The sequence below is a fragment of the Homo sapiens genome, chromosome 6, assembly GCF_000001405.40.
Source record: "Homo sapiens chromosome 6, GRCh38.p14 Primary Assembly".
Classification (NCBI taxonomy): Eukaryota; Metazoa; Chordata; class Mammalia; order Primates; family Hominidae; genus Homo; species Homo sapiens.
The window spans coordinates 65,819,127-65,838,577 of record NC_000006.12 but is presented as its reverse complement, the minus strand read 5'-3'; the positions used below and the strand labels follow the sequence as shown (position 1 = coordinate 65,838,577).

Here is a 19,451-nt window from a genome sequence, read left to right as displayed (position 1 = left end):
GGGCAATCTGTGATCTTCTGAGCAAGGTCCAGACAAAGTGAGGAGCCGAAACAAATCGAGATTTTAAAATATATGAATTTATTAATATTGTCCTACTTTTCTGTGCCTCCCACATTTGTAGGAGGTACACTGATGATCATCTATATATGTAGAAAGTCCTATGGAATCTACAAAAAAGTTATTAAAACGATTGTTTGCGTTTTGCAAAGTTGCAGTCAATTGGGTCAATATAAAAATTCAATTGTATTTCTATACGTTAGAAATTAAGAATCAAATTGAAAATTTTAAATGTACGGTATTATAAAGCATTCAAATAATTAGGGACAAATCTGAGGAAAGATGTGCATTCTCTGTGTACTGAAACACTGGAATATTGCTGAAACAAATGTTAAATGATCTAAATATATGGGGATAGATACTGTGTTTATTGTTTGGGAGATTCAATAATGTTAAGAATTCAGTTCTCTGAAAATTGGTCTCTGTATTCAACACAATCTGAAAATAAGTTTCAGAATCGGTAGACATTGCGAACCAGGTTATGAAGTGCAAGGCTGCAGTTGCTTGGGAGGCTGGAAAGCCTCTCTCCATAGAGGAGATAGAGGTGGCACCCCCAAAGGCTCATGAAGTTCGAATCAAGATCATTGCCACTGCGGTTTGCCACACCGACGCCTATACCCTGAGGGGAGCTGATCCTGAGGGTTGTTTTCCAGTGATCTTGGGACATGAAGGTGCCGGAATTGAGGAAAGTGTTGGCGAGGGAGTTACTAAGCTGAAGGCGGGTGACACTGTCATCCCACTTTACATCCCACAGTGTGGAGAATGCAAATTTTGTCTATATCCTAAAACTAACCTTTGCCAGAAGATAAGAGTCACTCAAGGGAAAGGATTAATGCCAGATGGTACCAGCAGATTTACTTGCAAAGGAAAGACAATTTTGCGTTACATGGGAACCAGCACATTTTCTGAATACACAGTTGTAGCTGATATCTCTGTTGCTAAAATAGATCCTTTAGCACCTTTGGATAAACTCTGCCTTCTAGGTTGTGGCATTTCAGCTGGTGATGGTGCTGCTGTGAACACTGCCAAGGTGGAACCTGGCTCTGTTTGTGCCGTCTTTGGTCTGGGAGGAGTTGGATTGGCAGTTATCAAGGGCTGTAAAGTGGCTGGTGCATCCCGGATCATTGGTGTGGACATCAATAAAGATAAATTTGCAAGGGCCAAAGAGTTTGGAGCCACTGAATGTATTAACCCTCAGGGTTTTAGTAAACCCATCCAGGAAGGGCTCATTGAGACGACTGATGGAGGAGTGGACTATTCCTTTGAATGTATTGGTAATGTGAAGGTCATGAGAGCAGCACTTGAGGCTTATCACAAGGGCTGGGGAGTCAGCGTGGTGGTTGGAGTAGCTGCTTCAGGTGAAGAAATTGCCACTCGTCCATTCCAGCTGGTAACAGGTCGCACATGGAAAGGAACTGCCTTTGGAGGATGGAAGAGTGTAGAAAGTGTCCCAAAGTTGGTGTCTGAATATATGTCCAAAAAAATAAAAGTTGATGAATTTGTGACTCACAATCTGTCTTTTGGTGAAATTAACAAAGCCTTTCAACTGATGCATTCTGGAAAGAGCATTCGAACTGTTGTAAAGATTTAATTCAAAAGAGAAAAATAATGTCCAACCTGTCGTGATGTGATGGGAGCAGCTTAACAGGCAGGGAGAAGCGCCTCCAAACTCACAGCCTCGTAGAGCTTCGCAGCTACCCCAGAGAATAGTGTTATGAGTGTAATTCATGAATCTCTATAATCAACGACAAGGATAATTCAGTCATGGACCTGTTTTCTGGACGCTCCTCCACATAAATAATTGCTAGCTTATTAAGGAATATTTTAACATAATAAAAGTAATTTCTACATTTGTGTAGAAATTGTCTTTGTTTTATGCTGTAATCATTGTCATGGTTTGTCTGCCCATTATCTTCATTCTGTAAGGGAAATGTAAAGGAAGCAGGGCAGTGGTGGGTGTCTGAAACCTCAGAAACATTCGTTGAAGTTTTAAGGGTCTCAGTCCCGTTGATTGAAGAACAGATCCTAGCCATCAGTGACAAAGTTAATCAGGAGCCAAGTCTGCTTCTGTGATATTATCTTGAAGGGAGGTACTGTGCCTTGTTCGTGCCTGTACCCCAAATTCCTAGTATGGCATCTGCCCCTCAGGGGACACTAAAATGTATTATTGAAACAGCATTCTGGACTTAAATAGGTGTATGTGTGTGTTGGTTGTGGCTGTACTATTTCTAGTATAGTGAATTACATACTGAATATCCAAGTTCTCAGCACCTACTTTTGTCAAATCTTAACATTTTGCCACTTCCACATCACATTGCCATTCCTCCCCTCCAGAGGTAACAATTATCCAAAATTTGATGTTTGTCATTCCTGTGTTGTTGTACTTTCACTGTGTATAACCTAAACCATCTACTCTTTAGTACTGTTTTATATATTTTTAAGCCTTATACTTGCTCATTCTACAGCTTTTCTTTTTTTCACTCATTATTGTATAATTATATGTGAAGCTTTCATTCATTAATTTTAGTACTGTGTAGCAGTATTCAATTACGCGAACTATCTTAATTCATCTGTTCTCCAGTTGAAGGCATGAAGTTGTTGCCAGTTTCTGTATTACAACACTGTAGTGGAACATTCTTCTGCATTGGGCTCACTACATTAGTTACTTAAGATGTGTATCACAGAATAAACACATTTAGCCTTATAGACATTGCCAAATTTATCTTCAAAGTAAATGTGAGTTTTTGTGAATTACGTGAGTGTAGAATGGTGTTTTATTATGAGTTTAGTTTGCATTTTCCACAATTACTCATTAAATCCTTCATTCTAATGTACATTTTATTGTGAAGAACCTGTTCATATCCTGTGCCCAACTTTGTATTGAATTATTTCTTTTTCTCTGAGTAATTTTTAGGAGTTCTTTTATTCTAGACATCAATCATTTGTCAGTTTTATATGTTGCAAATATCTTCTAGTCTATCTAGTGACTTTTCTTTTTACTTTATGGTATTTTGTTGAATAAAGTTTTAATGTAGTCAAATAAAGAAAATAAGTTTCAGCAGTTTTTTTTTTTTGTAGAAATTGACAAGCTGATTCAAATATTGATATGGAAATGCAAGGACTAAGAATACCAAAACAACTTTGAAATTGAACAACAAATTTAAATGACTTATGCTTTCTAATTCCAAGAAAAATTAGTTTCAATAAAACTACACTAATTAAGACTGTGATATTTACATAAAGATTAGATTAATGACCAGCAGAGCAGAATTGAGAGTCCAGGAATAGACCCAAAAATGTATGGTCAATTGCTTCTATGGGGTTTATAAAGAATAGCACTCCTGACCTGGAATAATTTATTTTCACCTCATCATGATTAGCAACCCATACCACAAGAACTCACACTCTGATGGCTGAAGAAATTTATATTGAGTACAGACCAGAAAAAGCCATTCATCTTTTCTCTATTTCTCTTGAAGCACTCTTCTTAGAAATGCAGTCTCCAGGTAACAAGTCTGATGGCTCTGAAATGTCCATACTGGAGAGGCCATACCTCGGTGCTTCCGTAAATAGCACCAGCTGAACTCTCAGCTGACAGCCAATATAAACAGTCAGGCAAGTGTGAGAGCCATCTTGGATGCCCTAACCTGTTGAATTTTCACCATAGCTAACATCTGACTTTAAATTGTGTAAGAGACTATGAGAACTTCCAGTCAATCTCACTAAATCCTTGTCCCACAAAATGATGAACAAAATAAGATGCTCGTTTTAAACATCTAAGCTTTAATGTAATTTGCAATCTAGCAAAAGGTAACTGGAACATAGCCTTACCATAACATGCTCCAGAATTATCCTAATATGTACTCATCATCTGCCTTCTATTTTACTCATTTCCCCTTTAAAATTGGAATTTTTATAGCTCTATCATTTGTCGATTAACTGTCTTCTCTACCATTCATTTTTCTTTCTTCCAAAATCTTATGCCTATATGTTTTTTAAGTACCATGTAGATAAGTTATTTTCAAGATATGCCTTTCTCTTGTTTGGTACATGTATCAGGTTACTATGGAACAGTCTTTAAAATTCCTGGAAGCTCTTTTGCCTAGTTTAGAAGGTCTGCAAGTTAACCCCCACTAAATCTTTCAAAAATATTTTTAAAGAACTTATAGCCACTCCCTTGATTTAATTTTATCTCATAATTTCTTACTTTAAGGATATTTGCTTTTGAAAGAATGGAGATGAAAAAGTTTTTAATCTCCATGTAGACAAACTCTGGATCTTCTATATTTCCTCTAAATTCTGCTTGCAGACTGTTTTCTTTCACTCATGTCTTTCTTCCCATACAATGTTTCAATATTTTGCCGAGAAATAGCCTTAACAATATCTACATGTCCATTAGATTTTTTCCATCTTCCATGTTACCAATAGGGTACAATTTTCGAATTGTTTTGCTATTTCATATGAGACATCATATTTTAAGCCTGTTTAGATGTTTCCTCACTACTTTTTCACGTTTACTAACAAAGTTCTCATCATTTTTCAGTCTTCTTAGAGTTCCCAAATTGTTTTTTCATCCTGTTCCAGCCACCATGTCAAATCATATGCCATTATGTTTTAGAATTTTTGGTTATGTAGTACCCAACTTCCAATTTCTGTATCAGTTAACTTATCCTGCAAAACAAGATATTCTAACTTTAAGCAAGTTAAAGCATACAAATTTATTATTTCTTCATGATTCTGTATATTGTTCTGGCAGTTTTTCAGTTCTGGTCCAGGTAAGCTGAAGCTGGAGGGTCTAAGGTACCTCAGTGTCTGTGGAGATTAGGAACTGTAATGTCTGAGAAGACTAAGGGCCTCTCTCATTCTTCTAGCCCAGTCTTGTTCATGTGATGAATGAAGAGTTTTCATTATCAACAGAAGCCAAGTACCAGTGCAAAGGAACATTTCAAGTCCCTGTGTGCATCATATTTGCTATCTCTCATTGCCAAAATCAAGACAAAGGCCAATGCCATGAAGAATGACTCTGAAACATCCATGCTGGAGAGGACATACCTAGGTGCTGCCATAGACAACACCAGCTGAACTCTCAGCTGACAGCCAACATAAACAGCCCAATGTAAACATGAAGAATGGCATTGGCCTTTGAAGACCAGTGGTGATGAAGAATCAGACTTCTCTTTAAATGGAAAGTCAGTCAAAGTCATATTATATAGAAACTCTATTGAGTAAACACGTCCCACCCCAAATGCATATGTTGAAACCTAATTCCCAGTATGAGGTACTGGGGGAGTGAGGCCTTTGGGAGTAGATTGGGTCATGAGGGCTTTTATTAATGGGATTAGTGCCCTTTACAAAAGTAATCTCAGAAAGCTCATTTACTCCTTCCTTGTGTGAGGACACAAAGAAAAGTCAGCCATCTGTATACCAGAAAATGGTCCACAAAGACTCCAAATCTGCCAGCATCTTGTTCTTGAGACTTCCTCAACTCCATTACTATGAGAAACAAATTTCTGTTGTTTGTAATCCATTTGGTTTGTGGTGTTCTGTCATTGCAGCCTGAATGAACTATAAAAAGGGTCATAGAGAGAGGCATGAACAAATTGGTAGTCACTACTGAAATAATGTAATAGTTGAAATAGTTAGATCATATTAAATTGGGTCATCTTTGGACATTTATATAAATGAGAATAAACTTGTTTGCTGAGCAGCTAATAAATCAAATGCAGTGGACCACTATTAAAGGGTTTGCAAAAACTATGCACTTCTTTTTAAAAGAATTCCAGAAGCCATTTATGCATTTAATGTGACACAAATTTTAAATTTTATTGACCTAACTGCAGATGAATAGGTAAGTTTAAATATAGGTGTAACCAATCATATTTTCTTGCTCTACAATTTGTGAGACACACAGAGAACTAATATAAACTAAGTTAGATCAATGTTAGATAGATAAATAAAGGTTATAGAATTGCATCTGCCTTTTTTCTTCACTTCTTGATTTGCTGCTGATCAATATTTTATATTTCTTTGAAAAACTCCAGTGTTCTTTCATAAATTTGCCCTCAACTTAATGTATATGTGTATGTTCAGGTGATTAGAATGGTTTGCAATATTGTTCTGAAGCTTACAGTCAAGAGTATTATTCAAGGCAATGACTTCAGTTAGGATCCAGAGAGTGGTATATCTGATTCTGAAACCTGTACCCTCTCCACTGAATCATGCTGCCTCATCGTTTTGTAATGGCTTTTAGGGGAATTGAACTTACTCTGCTCTGCCTTTCTCCTAGGCTTTGTTTCTGAGGAGAGAGATGCAAGCAGAATTACGGAAGACTGTTAGGGCAGATAAACTGATTGTAATATTTGATAAAGAAACGATGGATCAGAATTTATGGTCTTGCTCTTACAAGTTTGCTACTACCTATTTTTTTTTTTGAATCTTTGCTTTCTAACAAGTAGCCTCTACTATGACACTCACAACTTTGTTTCTTTCCATACAAAGACTCTTCATCATACTTATTAAAGTTTGTTTTATTAGTATTATTATGCTTTAAAGTTATGCAGTTCTTTTTTCTTTCCCTGTAAGTTGCTACATTCTATGAAAGTCCAAGAAGGAAATATACTGGGAAAGCTTGTTAAGGGAATAAGAGAATAGCCATTTAAATTCAATTAGCTGATGATAGTATCTAGAAAGTTTACTGGGTATACTTTTCAAAGATATTTGACCAGGAACCAGTTTTCAAAGGTACAAAAATTCTAGTTATCTTTAGAAAACACCAGGGCAGCTAACCCAGGGTGGGATACAGTGTTACTGCTACAACTTCACCAGGCCACGGGTAATACAATAAAAATTAAATCTCTTTCCCTGAAAATGGATACAATTTGCAAAAGTTCTTACTCAACTCTTTATATAAAACATATATTAATTACCATTTTCTTTCATTAAGAAGAAAGTAAAGGCCTCAACATAGTACAATAGCAATTAATTCTAGCAATGAAAATGTTTAAATTCATGACTCTACCCTGTTTTTATAATCTTTAGAGTATTGTCATACAGAATATTTTTCAGCCTGAAAATATTACTGAATGAGTGTTTCTGCCATGGGATGATGTATTGAACTCATTTCTGCAGCCTTAACAACAACGCCTAGCACTGAGAGTTGTATATCTCATCAAGAATCCCCTTTCAACAATCCCATGTAGCACTTGCTCCAATTATCGTAATCGATAATGTCATAAAGTGAATAATTCCAAAAGTCAAGATGGCTTTTTGACATATCAATGTCCAAAACATATCAATAGCTCAACAGTAAATATTTATTGAATATGTACTCTATGTTAGAAGAGTACATCAGCATTATCTAAGATAAATACTGTAAAAAACAAAAACAGGGTGTGGTATAAAATACACACGTTTGAAACTACCCCAGACCTACTAGGCAAACTTGTGGAATCATATCCCAGCATAGCTTTCAATCTTTGTCTTCTGAATTCAGAAATTTTACTGCATTTTTCTCTCCTTCATTCGTGAAATAGGGATAGAAGCAATCCTTCTCCTCATATGCATTGTAAAGCTCACAGTGTAGAAGTCAAAGGTTAGCTTTGTTACTATCGTGTTCTTCAAAAGCATCATCATGATCATCATCAACAATCTTATGTTTCACAAGTACTGGAAATCTTAATATCACTTTGCTTCTAACAAATTCTTTTCTCTTTATTTTTACACAAATTAAAATGAAGCATTTTCTTTTTAAAAACCAATTCATTACATTGTATGGATGTTTATTTCTATTACAAATATCAACATATATATCAGAAACAATCCATTCAAATAACAGAGTAATACATGAAGGAAGTATAGTCCTTAGAACATAGAAAACTCTGGAGGAAATTACTGAGATATTATTTGTACTTAAAAACATATAAATCAAATTTCTGAAAGGCATAGATAATATTGAAATTTATTATTTAATATTTGTAAAAACTTAAACTCATACATTTTGGTAAAACTACATATATTTTTTATGAATAATACAGGAATCTATGTGGAAATTTCCATATCTACTTCCTCAGATTCCCTGTGAGGCAAGAATCAGTACACTATTAAACAATTCATTCACTCAAACTAATGAACCTTCATTTCTCAGGACAATTGGAACACTGTCAGGTGGCTTATTTTAAAATAATCATAAAAGTACTCAGTAGGTTTAGAAATAATTAAAATGACTGTATTGTTCCTATGTTACAGTATAATGGGTTGTTAGAGGAGCCCAGAGGATTAGAGATTGATATTGGAAGACTTTAATTAGTTTTTTCAAATTGGAAAAAATGTACATGTATAAAAATTTATTTTTCTGTTAAAATATTGTTTGTGATGTATAGCTTATAACGTATTTCAATACAATTATTTGAGATTGTGAAAAATTAAAGATCTTACCTTATATTAAATTACAAAAACTCCTTTCTCAAATTATTTTGTGTATGAAATACTATATACAGAATTAATTTGAATCAATTTAGTACACTAATGATGTCATTTTGATTTTGAAATAGTTTTCTTCTCATTCCTCTGAATCAAATAAATTCAATATTGAGTACACCATTAAATGCAATAAACCCAACATGAACTCCTTCTAAATATTTGGGAATGGATTTCACATAAATTTATTATATAAATGATGAGGCCTTTGTGAATCAGGAATTGTTCCTGACGCTGTATACCACCATGCAGAAGACATATAACAGATGATCACAGAAACATGTAATGGAGGACACCAGGCAGGATATAGGAAAATATAGCAGGGATATCTTAGTTGTCAGGTGATACAAGAATTGTAGTGATACTACAGAATTTAAACTTTTAAGAATGTTTAATAAAACAATGATTCTGAATATTCTTTTTAAAACTTCTTTATTTTAAAATAATGTTAAAGTTACAGAATACTAGAAATGGTAAGAGAGTTTCAAATATGTTTCACTCAGCTTTCCTTAATGTTAAAATTTTACATAACTATAATAATATATATAACTATAATAAGCAAAATGAAGAAAGTAACATTGGTACAATTCTATCAACTGAACTGCAGAGTTTATTCAGATTTACCAGTTTTTCACTAATGGATATTTCCAGGATTCAAGCCAGGATTCTGCACTGCATTTAGTTGTCATGGCTCCTTAGTTTCCTTCAGTAGGTAAGAGTTACTCAGTCTTACCTTACATTTCATGAGGAAACATTTTTCAATAATGTTCAGGTGGTTTTTAGATTGTTGCTTAAATTGAGTTTCTTTGAATTTCTCATGATTACACAGAAGATAAGGATTTGGAGGAAAGATATCAGAGAGGTGAAATGCCATCCTCATCACATATGGAGGACACATGATGTCAATATGTGTTATCACAGGTGATGCTGATCTTGATCACTTGATTATGGCAGTATCTACCGATGTTCTGCAGTGTAAATTTACCACTTTCCCCTTTTCATACTCAATTCATTAGAGGTGAATTTCTATATTCAACCCACACTCAGGAAGGGACTTCAGCTCCATCTCTTGGAGGGAGAATAATCTGAGAAGTTTGCACGTATGTTAAAATCGCCATAGTAATTACAGACTATATCCGAAAGTATGCTGTAGGTTATGCAAATATTTTATTTCTCTTTAGAATTTTAGTCAGTAATTTTAGAAGTCATCAGTGGATCTTGCCTATTGCAATTATTGCTGTAATTCTACAATCCTGATCTATTTCTCTCAATACTTACACATTCATGTATTGAATTTTTTTCTGTAAAGAAGAGTTGTCCCTTCTCCACCACTTATTTATTTACTCATGGATATTTATTTTATTTCTTGGATTATAATGAATGCCATTTTTGAACATGATTTTATACACTTTTATATTATTTGTATTTGCTTTCTTTGGACAGCAAGATTGGTTATATTCCATTACTATTTCTGAAAATACTTCTTATATGTACTTTTAATTAGCTTTTTTCTGCTGTTATCTAATTAGTAACAAATACTGAAAGAAAACTGCAATTAATTTTTCAAAGGAACTATAAATATGTAATTGCTATTTATTATATCCATTATGGTTAATACATATGATAAAAGTATATATAAAACATTCATAATCAAATAATCAAATATCAGTCTCACTATTTTCTTTAAAAATCAATCTTCAAATATTGGGGTATCTTTCTCCCTTGAAAACTTCAGCTAATAGAATTTTAATGGAATATCTTATCATATAATAATCCTGATATTGATCACTTAAAATCTAATAAAATGGAAAATTTTAAAATCTAGAATAAATTTTGGTATTTGTTACTTTGCATTGTAATTTTATCTTGCTGTTTTGTCTAATATATTCATTCAATCCTGAGGTAATATTAGTTGTTAAATAAATGAAAGTTGGTAAAAAGTTAGATAATCACTCAAAAATAAGGAGAATGTATATTGAAATGCAGGATGGTATACAGCATGTTCTAGTGACATTTATTACTCTTGCAGCTAAAAGTGAGTTCTGGCTCATGTAATTCAAAACATTTATGGCACATTCTTTCATTCCCCATCCTGCCACATCACACTCTCCCCTACTTCCTCCTAAAATTCTTCAGTGTCTATGGCCAATATTGTAGTAGAGATTGACAAACAAAAAGTGAATACATGGATAAATAACTATTCCTTCTCCTTTTCCAGAATTATTTCAAAATATCATATCTAATAATTGAAAAGAAGATTTGGAACCTATAAGGAGTAGAATATAGCATTCTGAAAGAAAATATCAAATATTTATTTTCCTTGAAAGCTTGATAATGTCTTTGTGTTTACAAACTAAGGTAAGTTTGGGGAGAACAGTTGACTGAGGATTATATCTTACTCATTTCATAATATCAAGTACGGTGAAAATTTGAAATGAACGTGTATATCATTTATAACATTGCAGCCTTTAATGTTTTAAATTAGTGTCAAAATTACAGACAATGAACATGCATATTGTCTCTTCTAACAGGTTATCTCTTGAAAAGGCTTTCTAAAGCTTAAAATACTTTGGACTTGGAGTTTTTATATTAGAGTTCTATGACTTGGATTTTTGGGGGCTTGGTTGTCATTCTATATGAAAGATACTTATTCTGAATCCAGCACTCACAGATAGGCTGTCTGTTCCCCAGAGTTAGGAAGCCCTAGTCCAGCGTGTGGTTAGAGCTTATCAGTTTTATTACTATGTCCTATGGGAAAATGTACATTTTCTTATTTATAGGAAAGACAGTAAAATGCTCTTGATTTTAGAGAAATCAGTTCTCATATAAACATGTACAGATAAGATTCTCTCTCAGGCATAATTTGTCTAAAATAATAACCACAACATTTGTGTGAAAATTTTTTGTAACAGCTTTCATGAATAATCCAGTAATACTTTGTTTTGTGAGCCCCCAGCTAAATTGGGGTTCTGGTGTCCGAGCAGCTAGCAACCCTTCCCTAAGGAAAATGAAAAGGGACTCGATGTGAGTGCTTACAGTGTGCCTTTCACAGGGTACTGCTTTGATCTGGCACCCAGCCTAACATGCAGTTATACAACCCATGACCGGGGACCCCTCACATGGCAAACTTGTTTATCCTGGCAGATGCCCCTGTGGCTCTTGACTGACCCATGTTCGGCTTATGTCTGCCTGACCATTGCTCTGAAGCTGAGAGTCTGACGCTGTGTTACTCCTAGCATCCTGGCGATATCTCAGCCTGGGGCATCCCCTAGTTCTTTAGATGGATGCCACAAATTTGATGCACCGGCACAACAGGAAACAAGTTCAAAGATTTTACTTTCAGATTCTGGGCAAGGAGGGTCCAGTGAGTCACAAAGGCAGTACTTGGTATCTAGGTCATATGAGGCAGGAATGAGGAGTCAGTAGGGAGAGAGTAGAGCATGTGGCAATTGGCAGTATAGAGAAGGGAACAGAGTGTGGGTCACTTGAAGAGTCTAGGCAAATGCCTGAATGGTCAGCTTAAAGGAAGCTGTGGGAAAGCAAGGAGCCCAGTCAACTAGACCAGAGAGATACTTGTAAGTTCTTAAGTCTGCCCACTGGCTTGAGATATTTGAGTGAGGCATAGAATTAAAAACTGTGTCAAGAGAGACTGAGCTCTGCTTGAGGTACAACAAAGACAAACCTGTTTTCAAAATGAATGCTGAAACAACATAAAATTATAAGAATCTACTACATGCTTGTATCAAATGCATATAAAATTCAAAAAGATACATGTGAAACAAAGTTTACATGAAAGAACAACCAAATTCAAGAGGATCCCATTGATATTTGTCTGTGGATGATATTTGCTTGAACGTATACATGACTAGTGGTAATTTATTTGGCTTGAGGTATTTTTAAGTACTCCAAAACTTAAAGAAAGAAAGAAACCCCGTAAAATGGGAGAAAATTAGAAGTTCAATTTCCATTACATTTTAGACAGTATGGTAAAATAATACCCTATTAAATTATTAAATTTTGAGGTAAATTATTTAAATATTTCTGAAATAATTTTAAATGTATAGAGTTTTAAAAATTGTCTTTGACCATGTACTCCTTGAAAACTAATAAAAGTTATAGGCTCCTTCTCCAAAAAAAATGCTGTTCATAACCGGATATTCACACACAATAACATGTACAATTTTAGACATTAGCTCATCCTTTGAACCCCACTCATGGAATCATAGCTTTTCGTATCTTCTAGGTTATACCATTTTGTTTTAAAGGAATGAAGATAACAAAATACTAGAGAAAGTGAACAGATAATGAGGAAGAAGAAAATAATAAAAGTTCTGACACTAGTGTTTGAAATACCATATTCACAGAAAATATGACTTTACTAGGATTTTGAGACCTATAAAATCCTTTCTTTAATAAAGTCTATACCTAATATTATACCCTGGAAAGAAAAGAATGTGAAAAGAAATTGACAGGACACTATCATTGGAAGAGTGTTACATTCCCCAGGTACTTCACTGACATATAATAATGTGAAGTCAATATAAAGTCTTAAAATCAGATGAGAACTGTTGATTTCAAGGAAGGGATGAACTTGACTGAAAAGCTATCACTGAAAACTAAGAAAAAAAATAATAATAAACACTTCAGTCACAAAAGACAGGACAGGAGACAATGTGTTTAATTATTTTCTGAATTGACTCTTTGTCGGTGTTATTAATTCATATGTATCTCTTGATGATCCAAGCTTTTGTATTAATAACACTATGGATCAATGTATATGCTCTATCTGACATTTAATAACAAGACATAACATAACAAAAATACAAATAATACCTCAATGAGATTTCTTCATTTATCATTTTTTAAAAAAAATTATTAACCTCATAATAATTCATAGTCTTCAAAAGTCCAAAGAAATGTTAATAATGTAGAAACAAAACCAAGTCAGGCTAAAAAGAAAATAATTTATTTCCAGAGAAATAAGCATAAAATAAGCAAAATCACAAAATATCAGTAACAGTAAAATAATTACAAATAAGGTGCTAAGATATTCCTTTTGTATAACAATTCAATTTTAGATGACCTCAATATACATTTTAGTTTGACTCTTCTTAGAATTATAGAGATGTATAAGAGATAAATATGAAAATGATTTACTGCTTTCTCATTCAGGTAAGTATACAAACCAAAGCTTTAGCTCTATAATTTAAATAATTCTAGCTGTGCATTTCTTATTTTCATCTTCTTGAAGATCTAAAAATACACTTTTCACACAGAATTTTTCTTTATGGATTGCCTAGAGAGACAATCTGTTGATCTCCACAGGCCTATTCCTAGCTACTCTTTTTAAAGAAAGTAATAGAGTAGCTGTTTGAATGACCTCTTTATTATTTGTTTAAATTTTATTTCTTCCTCATACATTTGACTAACTTTTACATTTTTATTTTTTCTCCACTGATTGATAGAACCAACTTGATCCCCTCCAGAGGCCACCAAAGCTAATTCCTGACTCAACAGCACCCTGATTTTGCTTTAGTGCTGTCCAATTAGCAGAAAAATCACCAAATTATGATGTATTGAAACACAATTCAGAAAACGACTAATTCACTCAAAGCAGATTTGACAAAAGAAAATTTCCTGAATCAATGATTCTCCAAATAAACATTCACTGAATTATTGAGATATTTTCTAGAGCTTTTGGTTTGCCGTAGCTGCAGCTGCTCTGCAACAGCCTTTGCAAGGTTTATTAGCCCAGCTTGGTTGATTTTCAGATTTGTGTGTTCTACATGTGGGAAAGCTCCAGGTTGATATGTGAAGAGTGGATTTTAAGACACTTGTTTCTGCTCTCTTATTCTTTGCTCTTACACCTTCTCTGCATTAACTTTGCTTGTGCGACACCATCTCTCCAGTGGCCAGGTTTTCCCCTGCTCCCATATGTCTGTATTATCGGGATTCTCCAGAGAAACAGAAATATGTATATATACACATATATGTATGTACACATGAACATATATATAATTTTATATATTATTATATATAATTTTATATGTAATCTTTATAAATAATTTTTACATATTTCCATATATAAATATATAATTATATGTATATGTGTGTGCATATATATATATATATATATATACATGAAGTCAAAGAGGCTGAGAAGTCCCAAGATCTGCAGTTGGCAAACTGGAGGCCAGAGAAGGAGTGTCGACAATGTAAGTTCCCATTTGAGTCTGAAGGCAAGAGAAGACCATGGTCTTAACTGGAAGTTGGTCAGGCAGAAAGAGTAAATCTCTATTACTCAACAATTTGTTCTATCAGGCCTTTAACAGATTGAATGGGGCCCACTCACATAGGAAGGAAGCAATCTTCTTTATTCAGTCTGCAATTTAAACATTAATCTCATCCAGAAACACCCTCATAGACACACTGAGAATATTTCCCCAAATATCTGGGCACCTCGTGGTCCAGTCACATAGACACATAGAATTAACCATCACAATGTCTTTCTGCTCCTGCCTGCAAGCTTTAATACACTGAACAGAAACTGAACGAGGATAGAAAATTTGTTGGGAGAGTGAGTAACCTTGAAAAGTAAAGAATATTTAAGATCATATAGGCTTTTCTGTAAGATTCTTTCATGTTCTTTCCTCACAGCATCAGAGGAAGAATATTTAAGATGATATAGGCTTTTCTCTAAGATTCTTTCATGTTCTTTCCTCATAGCATCAGAGGTTACAAAAATCTGACAAGTAGCCTTCTGAATCTAGAAATAAGTCATCAGTAGAAAGAAGTGCCTCTCTACATCTTGGGGAGAAGGGTTTATTTCAGTCTACTTTGGAAGCAGAAGTTATTAAACATAATGAATGCTTAAGAAAGTTCTCTGGAACATTGCAAAGAAATAAAAGAATATAGGCTGGTCACAGTGGCTCAATGCCTGTAATCCCAGCACTTTGGGAGGCCAAGGTGGGCAGATCACGAGGTCAGGAGTTCAAGACCAGCCTGCCCAACATAGTGAAACTCCATCTCTACTAAAAATGCAAAAAATTAGCCGGGCATGGTGGCGGACACCTGTAATCCCAGCTACTCAGAAGGCTGAGGCAGGAGAATCGCTTGAACCTGGGAGGCGGAGGTTGCAGTGAGCTGAGATGACACCATTGCACTCGAACCCAGGCTATAGTGTGACACTCTGTATAAAAAAAGAAAAGAATAGAATAAAATATCCAATAAGTCCAGAACACCAGCATGATCCTGTTGCCTGCCAAGTAGCTTTTTAAGCCACCTGGCTACATCTTTCTGCAGTACTTCCTTCTTTAGCAAGGACAGCATCCTCACCCCATCTTGTATAGACAAAAATAAAAATGGTATATGTCAACAGAGGGGTCACTGAAAATTTATTATTTACTAGAAATTTAAATACCATAAGCATTCCCATATACATGATTTTTATTCATGGATCATCCACAAATCTTGACTCTAAGGATTGCTATATATAACCTAAGCTTAGAATAAAATGAATAAATGTCAGTAGAGTGTTCATCAAACATTTTCTCCATCATTATCAAAATAATTAATTATGGGCCACAACCAAAATATATTTAGAATTATTTGATATCTGACAGAATAATGCCAATGACAAAAATGCAATATGAGCAGGAATTTTATCAAATTTTTATTTTTTATTTTTATTATTTATTTTTATGAGTACATAGTAGGTGTCTATACATATGAGATACATGAGATATTTTGATACATGCATACAATGTGTAATAATTACATCAGGATAAATGGAGTACCTATCACCTCAAGCATTTATCCTTTCTTTCTGTTAAAGACAATCCAATTATATTCTTAATTATTTAAAAATGTACAATAAAATTAGCCAGGTGTGGTGGTGGGCACCTGTAATCCCAGCTACTTGGGAGGCTGAGGCAGGAGAATCACTGGAACCTGGGAGGCAGAGGTTGCCGTGAGCCCAGATCATGTCATTGCACTCCAGACTGGATGACAAGAGTGAAACTCTGTCTCAAAAAAAAAATACAAAACAAAACAACAACAACAACAACAACAAATTACTGTTGATTATAGTCACCCTCTTGTGCTATCAAATACTGTATCGTATTCATTTTATCTAAGTATATTTTTGTATCCATTAACCATTTAACCATCCCCACTTCCCCCCACTCCCACTACGCTTCTCAGCCTCTGGTAACCATCCTACTCTCTATCTCCATGAGTTCAATTGTTCAAATTTTTAGCACCCACAAATAAGTGAGACTATGTGAAGTTCATCTTTCTGTGCCTGGCTTATTTTACTTAACATAATGACCTCTAGCTCCATCCATGTTTTTGCAAATGACTGAATCTCATCCTTTTTAATGGCTGAATAGTACTCCATTGGTATATGTACCACATTTTCCTTATCCATTTGTCTGTTGATGGACTCAGGTTACTTCCAAATCTTGACTATTGTTAACAATGCTGCAGTAAACATGTGAGTTCAGATATCTCTTTAATATACTAGTTTTCTTTGTTTTGAGTATATCCCTAGCAGTAGGATTACTGGATCATATGTGATATGGTTTGATCTGTGTGCCCTACCCAAATCTCTTGTTGAATTTTAATCCTCAATGTTGGAATAGGACCTGGTAGGAGGTGATTGGATCATGGGGGCAGTTTCTTATGATTTAGCCTCTTGGTGCAGTTGTGGCAATAGTGAATTCTCGTGAGATCTGGTAGTTTAAAAGTATGTGGCACCTCCCCCTTCTCTCTCTTTCTCCTATTACAGCCATGTGAACTGTCTTGCTCCCGCTTTGCCCTCGGTCATGATTGGGTGCTTTCTGAGGCCTCCCCAGAAACAGAAGCTGCTATGCTTCCTGTACAGCCTGCAAAACTGTGAACCAATTAAATCTCTTTTCTTTATAAATTTCCTAGGCTTGGGTATTTCTTATAGCAAGAATAAACTAATACAATAGGGTAGTTCTATTTTTAGTTTTTTGAGGAATCTCCAAACTCTTCTCTATAGTGGTTGTACTAATTGACATCCCCACCAACAGCGTAAGAGGGTTACTTTTTCTCCACACTCTCTCTAGCATTTGTTATTGCCTGTATTTTGGATAAAAGCCATTTTAACAGGAGTGAGATGATATCTCATTAGTTTCTAGTTATTTTTCTATGATAGTCAATGATGTTGAGCACTTTCTTATACACTTGTTTGCCATCTGTATGTCTTCTTTTGAGAAGTGGCTATTCAGATCATTTGCCCATTTTTAAAGCAGATTATTGGATACTTTCCTATAGAATTGTTTGAGCTCCTCATATATTTTGGATATTAATCCCTTGTCCAATGTATAGTTTGCAAATATTTTCTCCCATTTTGTGGGTTGTTTCTTCTCTTTGCTGAATGATTTCTTTGCTGTGCAGAAGCTTTTTAACTTGATGTGATCCCATTTGTCCATTTTGCTTTGGTTGTCTGTGTTTGTGGGGTATTATCAATAAATTGTTGCCCAATCCAATGTCCTGAAGAGCTTCCCCAATGTTTTCTTGTAGTACTTTCATAGTTTGAGGTCTTATACTTAAGTTTTTAATCCATTTTGATTTGATTTTTGTATATGGCGAGAGGTAGGGGACTAACTTCATTTTTCTGCATATGGATATCCAGTTTTCCCAGCACTGTTTATTGAAAAGACTGCATTTCCGCAGTATATGTTGGGGGACCTTTGTTGAAAATGTGTTCACTGTAGATGTATGGATTTGCTTCTGGGTTCTATATTCTATTTCATTGGTCCATGTGTCTGTTTTTATGGCAGCACCATGCTATTTGGTGAAGAAAGTCATTGATACCAAGTTTTTAAATAGCAACAAGATCTAGCCTTTTACTTCCTAACCTTGCCTCACTCATCTCATCATAATGCTCGTTCTAAATTAAACTATTAAACACACTACAAATAAAATATAGATAATAATAGAGCATTCCTAATTATGCTATTTTTAACAAATGACATAATCTATTTAAAGCCATCCAGTACACAATAGATTTCAAAAATATTAGGTATTGTTGCTGTTTCTGTTGTTGTTTTATATTATTCCCAATCACACCTAAATTTGTCTATACTCAATCTTGCATATTTGAAATTTTCAAACTTTCTCCTATGGACCTCATTGATGGAAGCAATACATACTTTGGGTAGGTAAATATGTATTAAAGGTCAAACCCCATATTTATTCTATAAAAGTATCTTAACAAATAGTTGCTGAATGAGTAAATGAAAGGGTAAAATAATTTTTTGTGGAAAGCCATAGTCTGCCAATCCCTGTAAAAAGTGAAATTTCTAAGCATCTGTTTTCTTAATTTCTGGGAGACAATTTTTGGTGAATGTCTTGTGAGTCTGTATGTCTTCCATGCACAGGCATTTTAACCTGTGCATGAAAGACATACAGATTCAGGGCTATGTTTTCAAGTATGCTTGTATAGCATGCAATCTCGGAAATTGGATAATGTCTCCCTCCAGTGAAGAAGATAAATTTGTTTGTTCACCAGGACAAGATTCAAGAAGGTTTGCATGCAGCCACTTTAAAGGATTAGGGTGTTGCTAGCTAAGGTTTCCTCACGGTGATGGATATTCACCGCTTGGGCAGCATTTTTCTGAGTCCTGAGTCACTCTGTGCTCTGCATTACTCTTTGAGACATGGGGAATAAGGAGAACCAAAGCAAACATAAAATGCATGCTGCCTGCTATGTCATGATGAGTAAGGTCCTTTGTCTCCAACCTGAGAGTCTCATATCTTCTGCCAGTGTTTATGAAACTGTGGCAGCCTAAGTCATTACACTGTAACCAGGGTAAAATCTCAGACCTAAGTTTTTGACATTGGTAAACATTTTATATAGTAAATCATGAAGGAGATGAATTTTAAAAGTG

At 34.7% G+C, this 19,451-nt stretch overlaps 1 pseudogene; it reads left to right on the top strand.

Annotated features, from left to right (window-relative positions):
* ADH5P4 (ADH5 pseudogene 4) lies at positions 510-3,101 on the top strand (annotated as a pseudogene).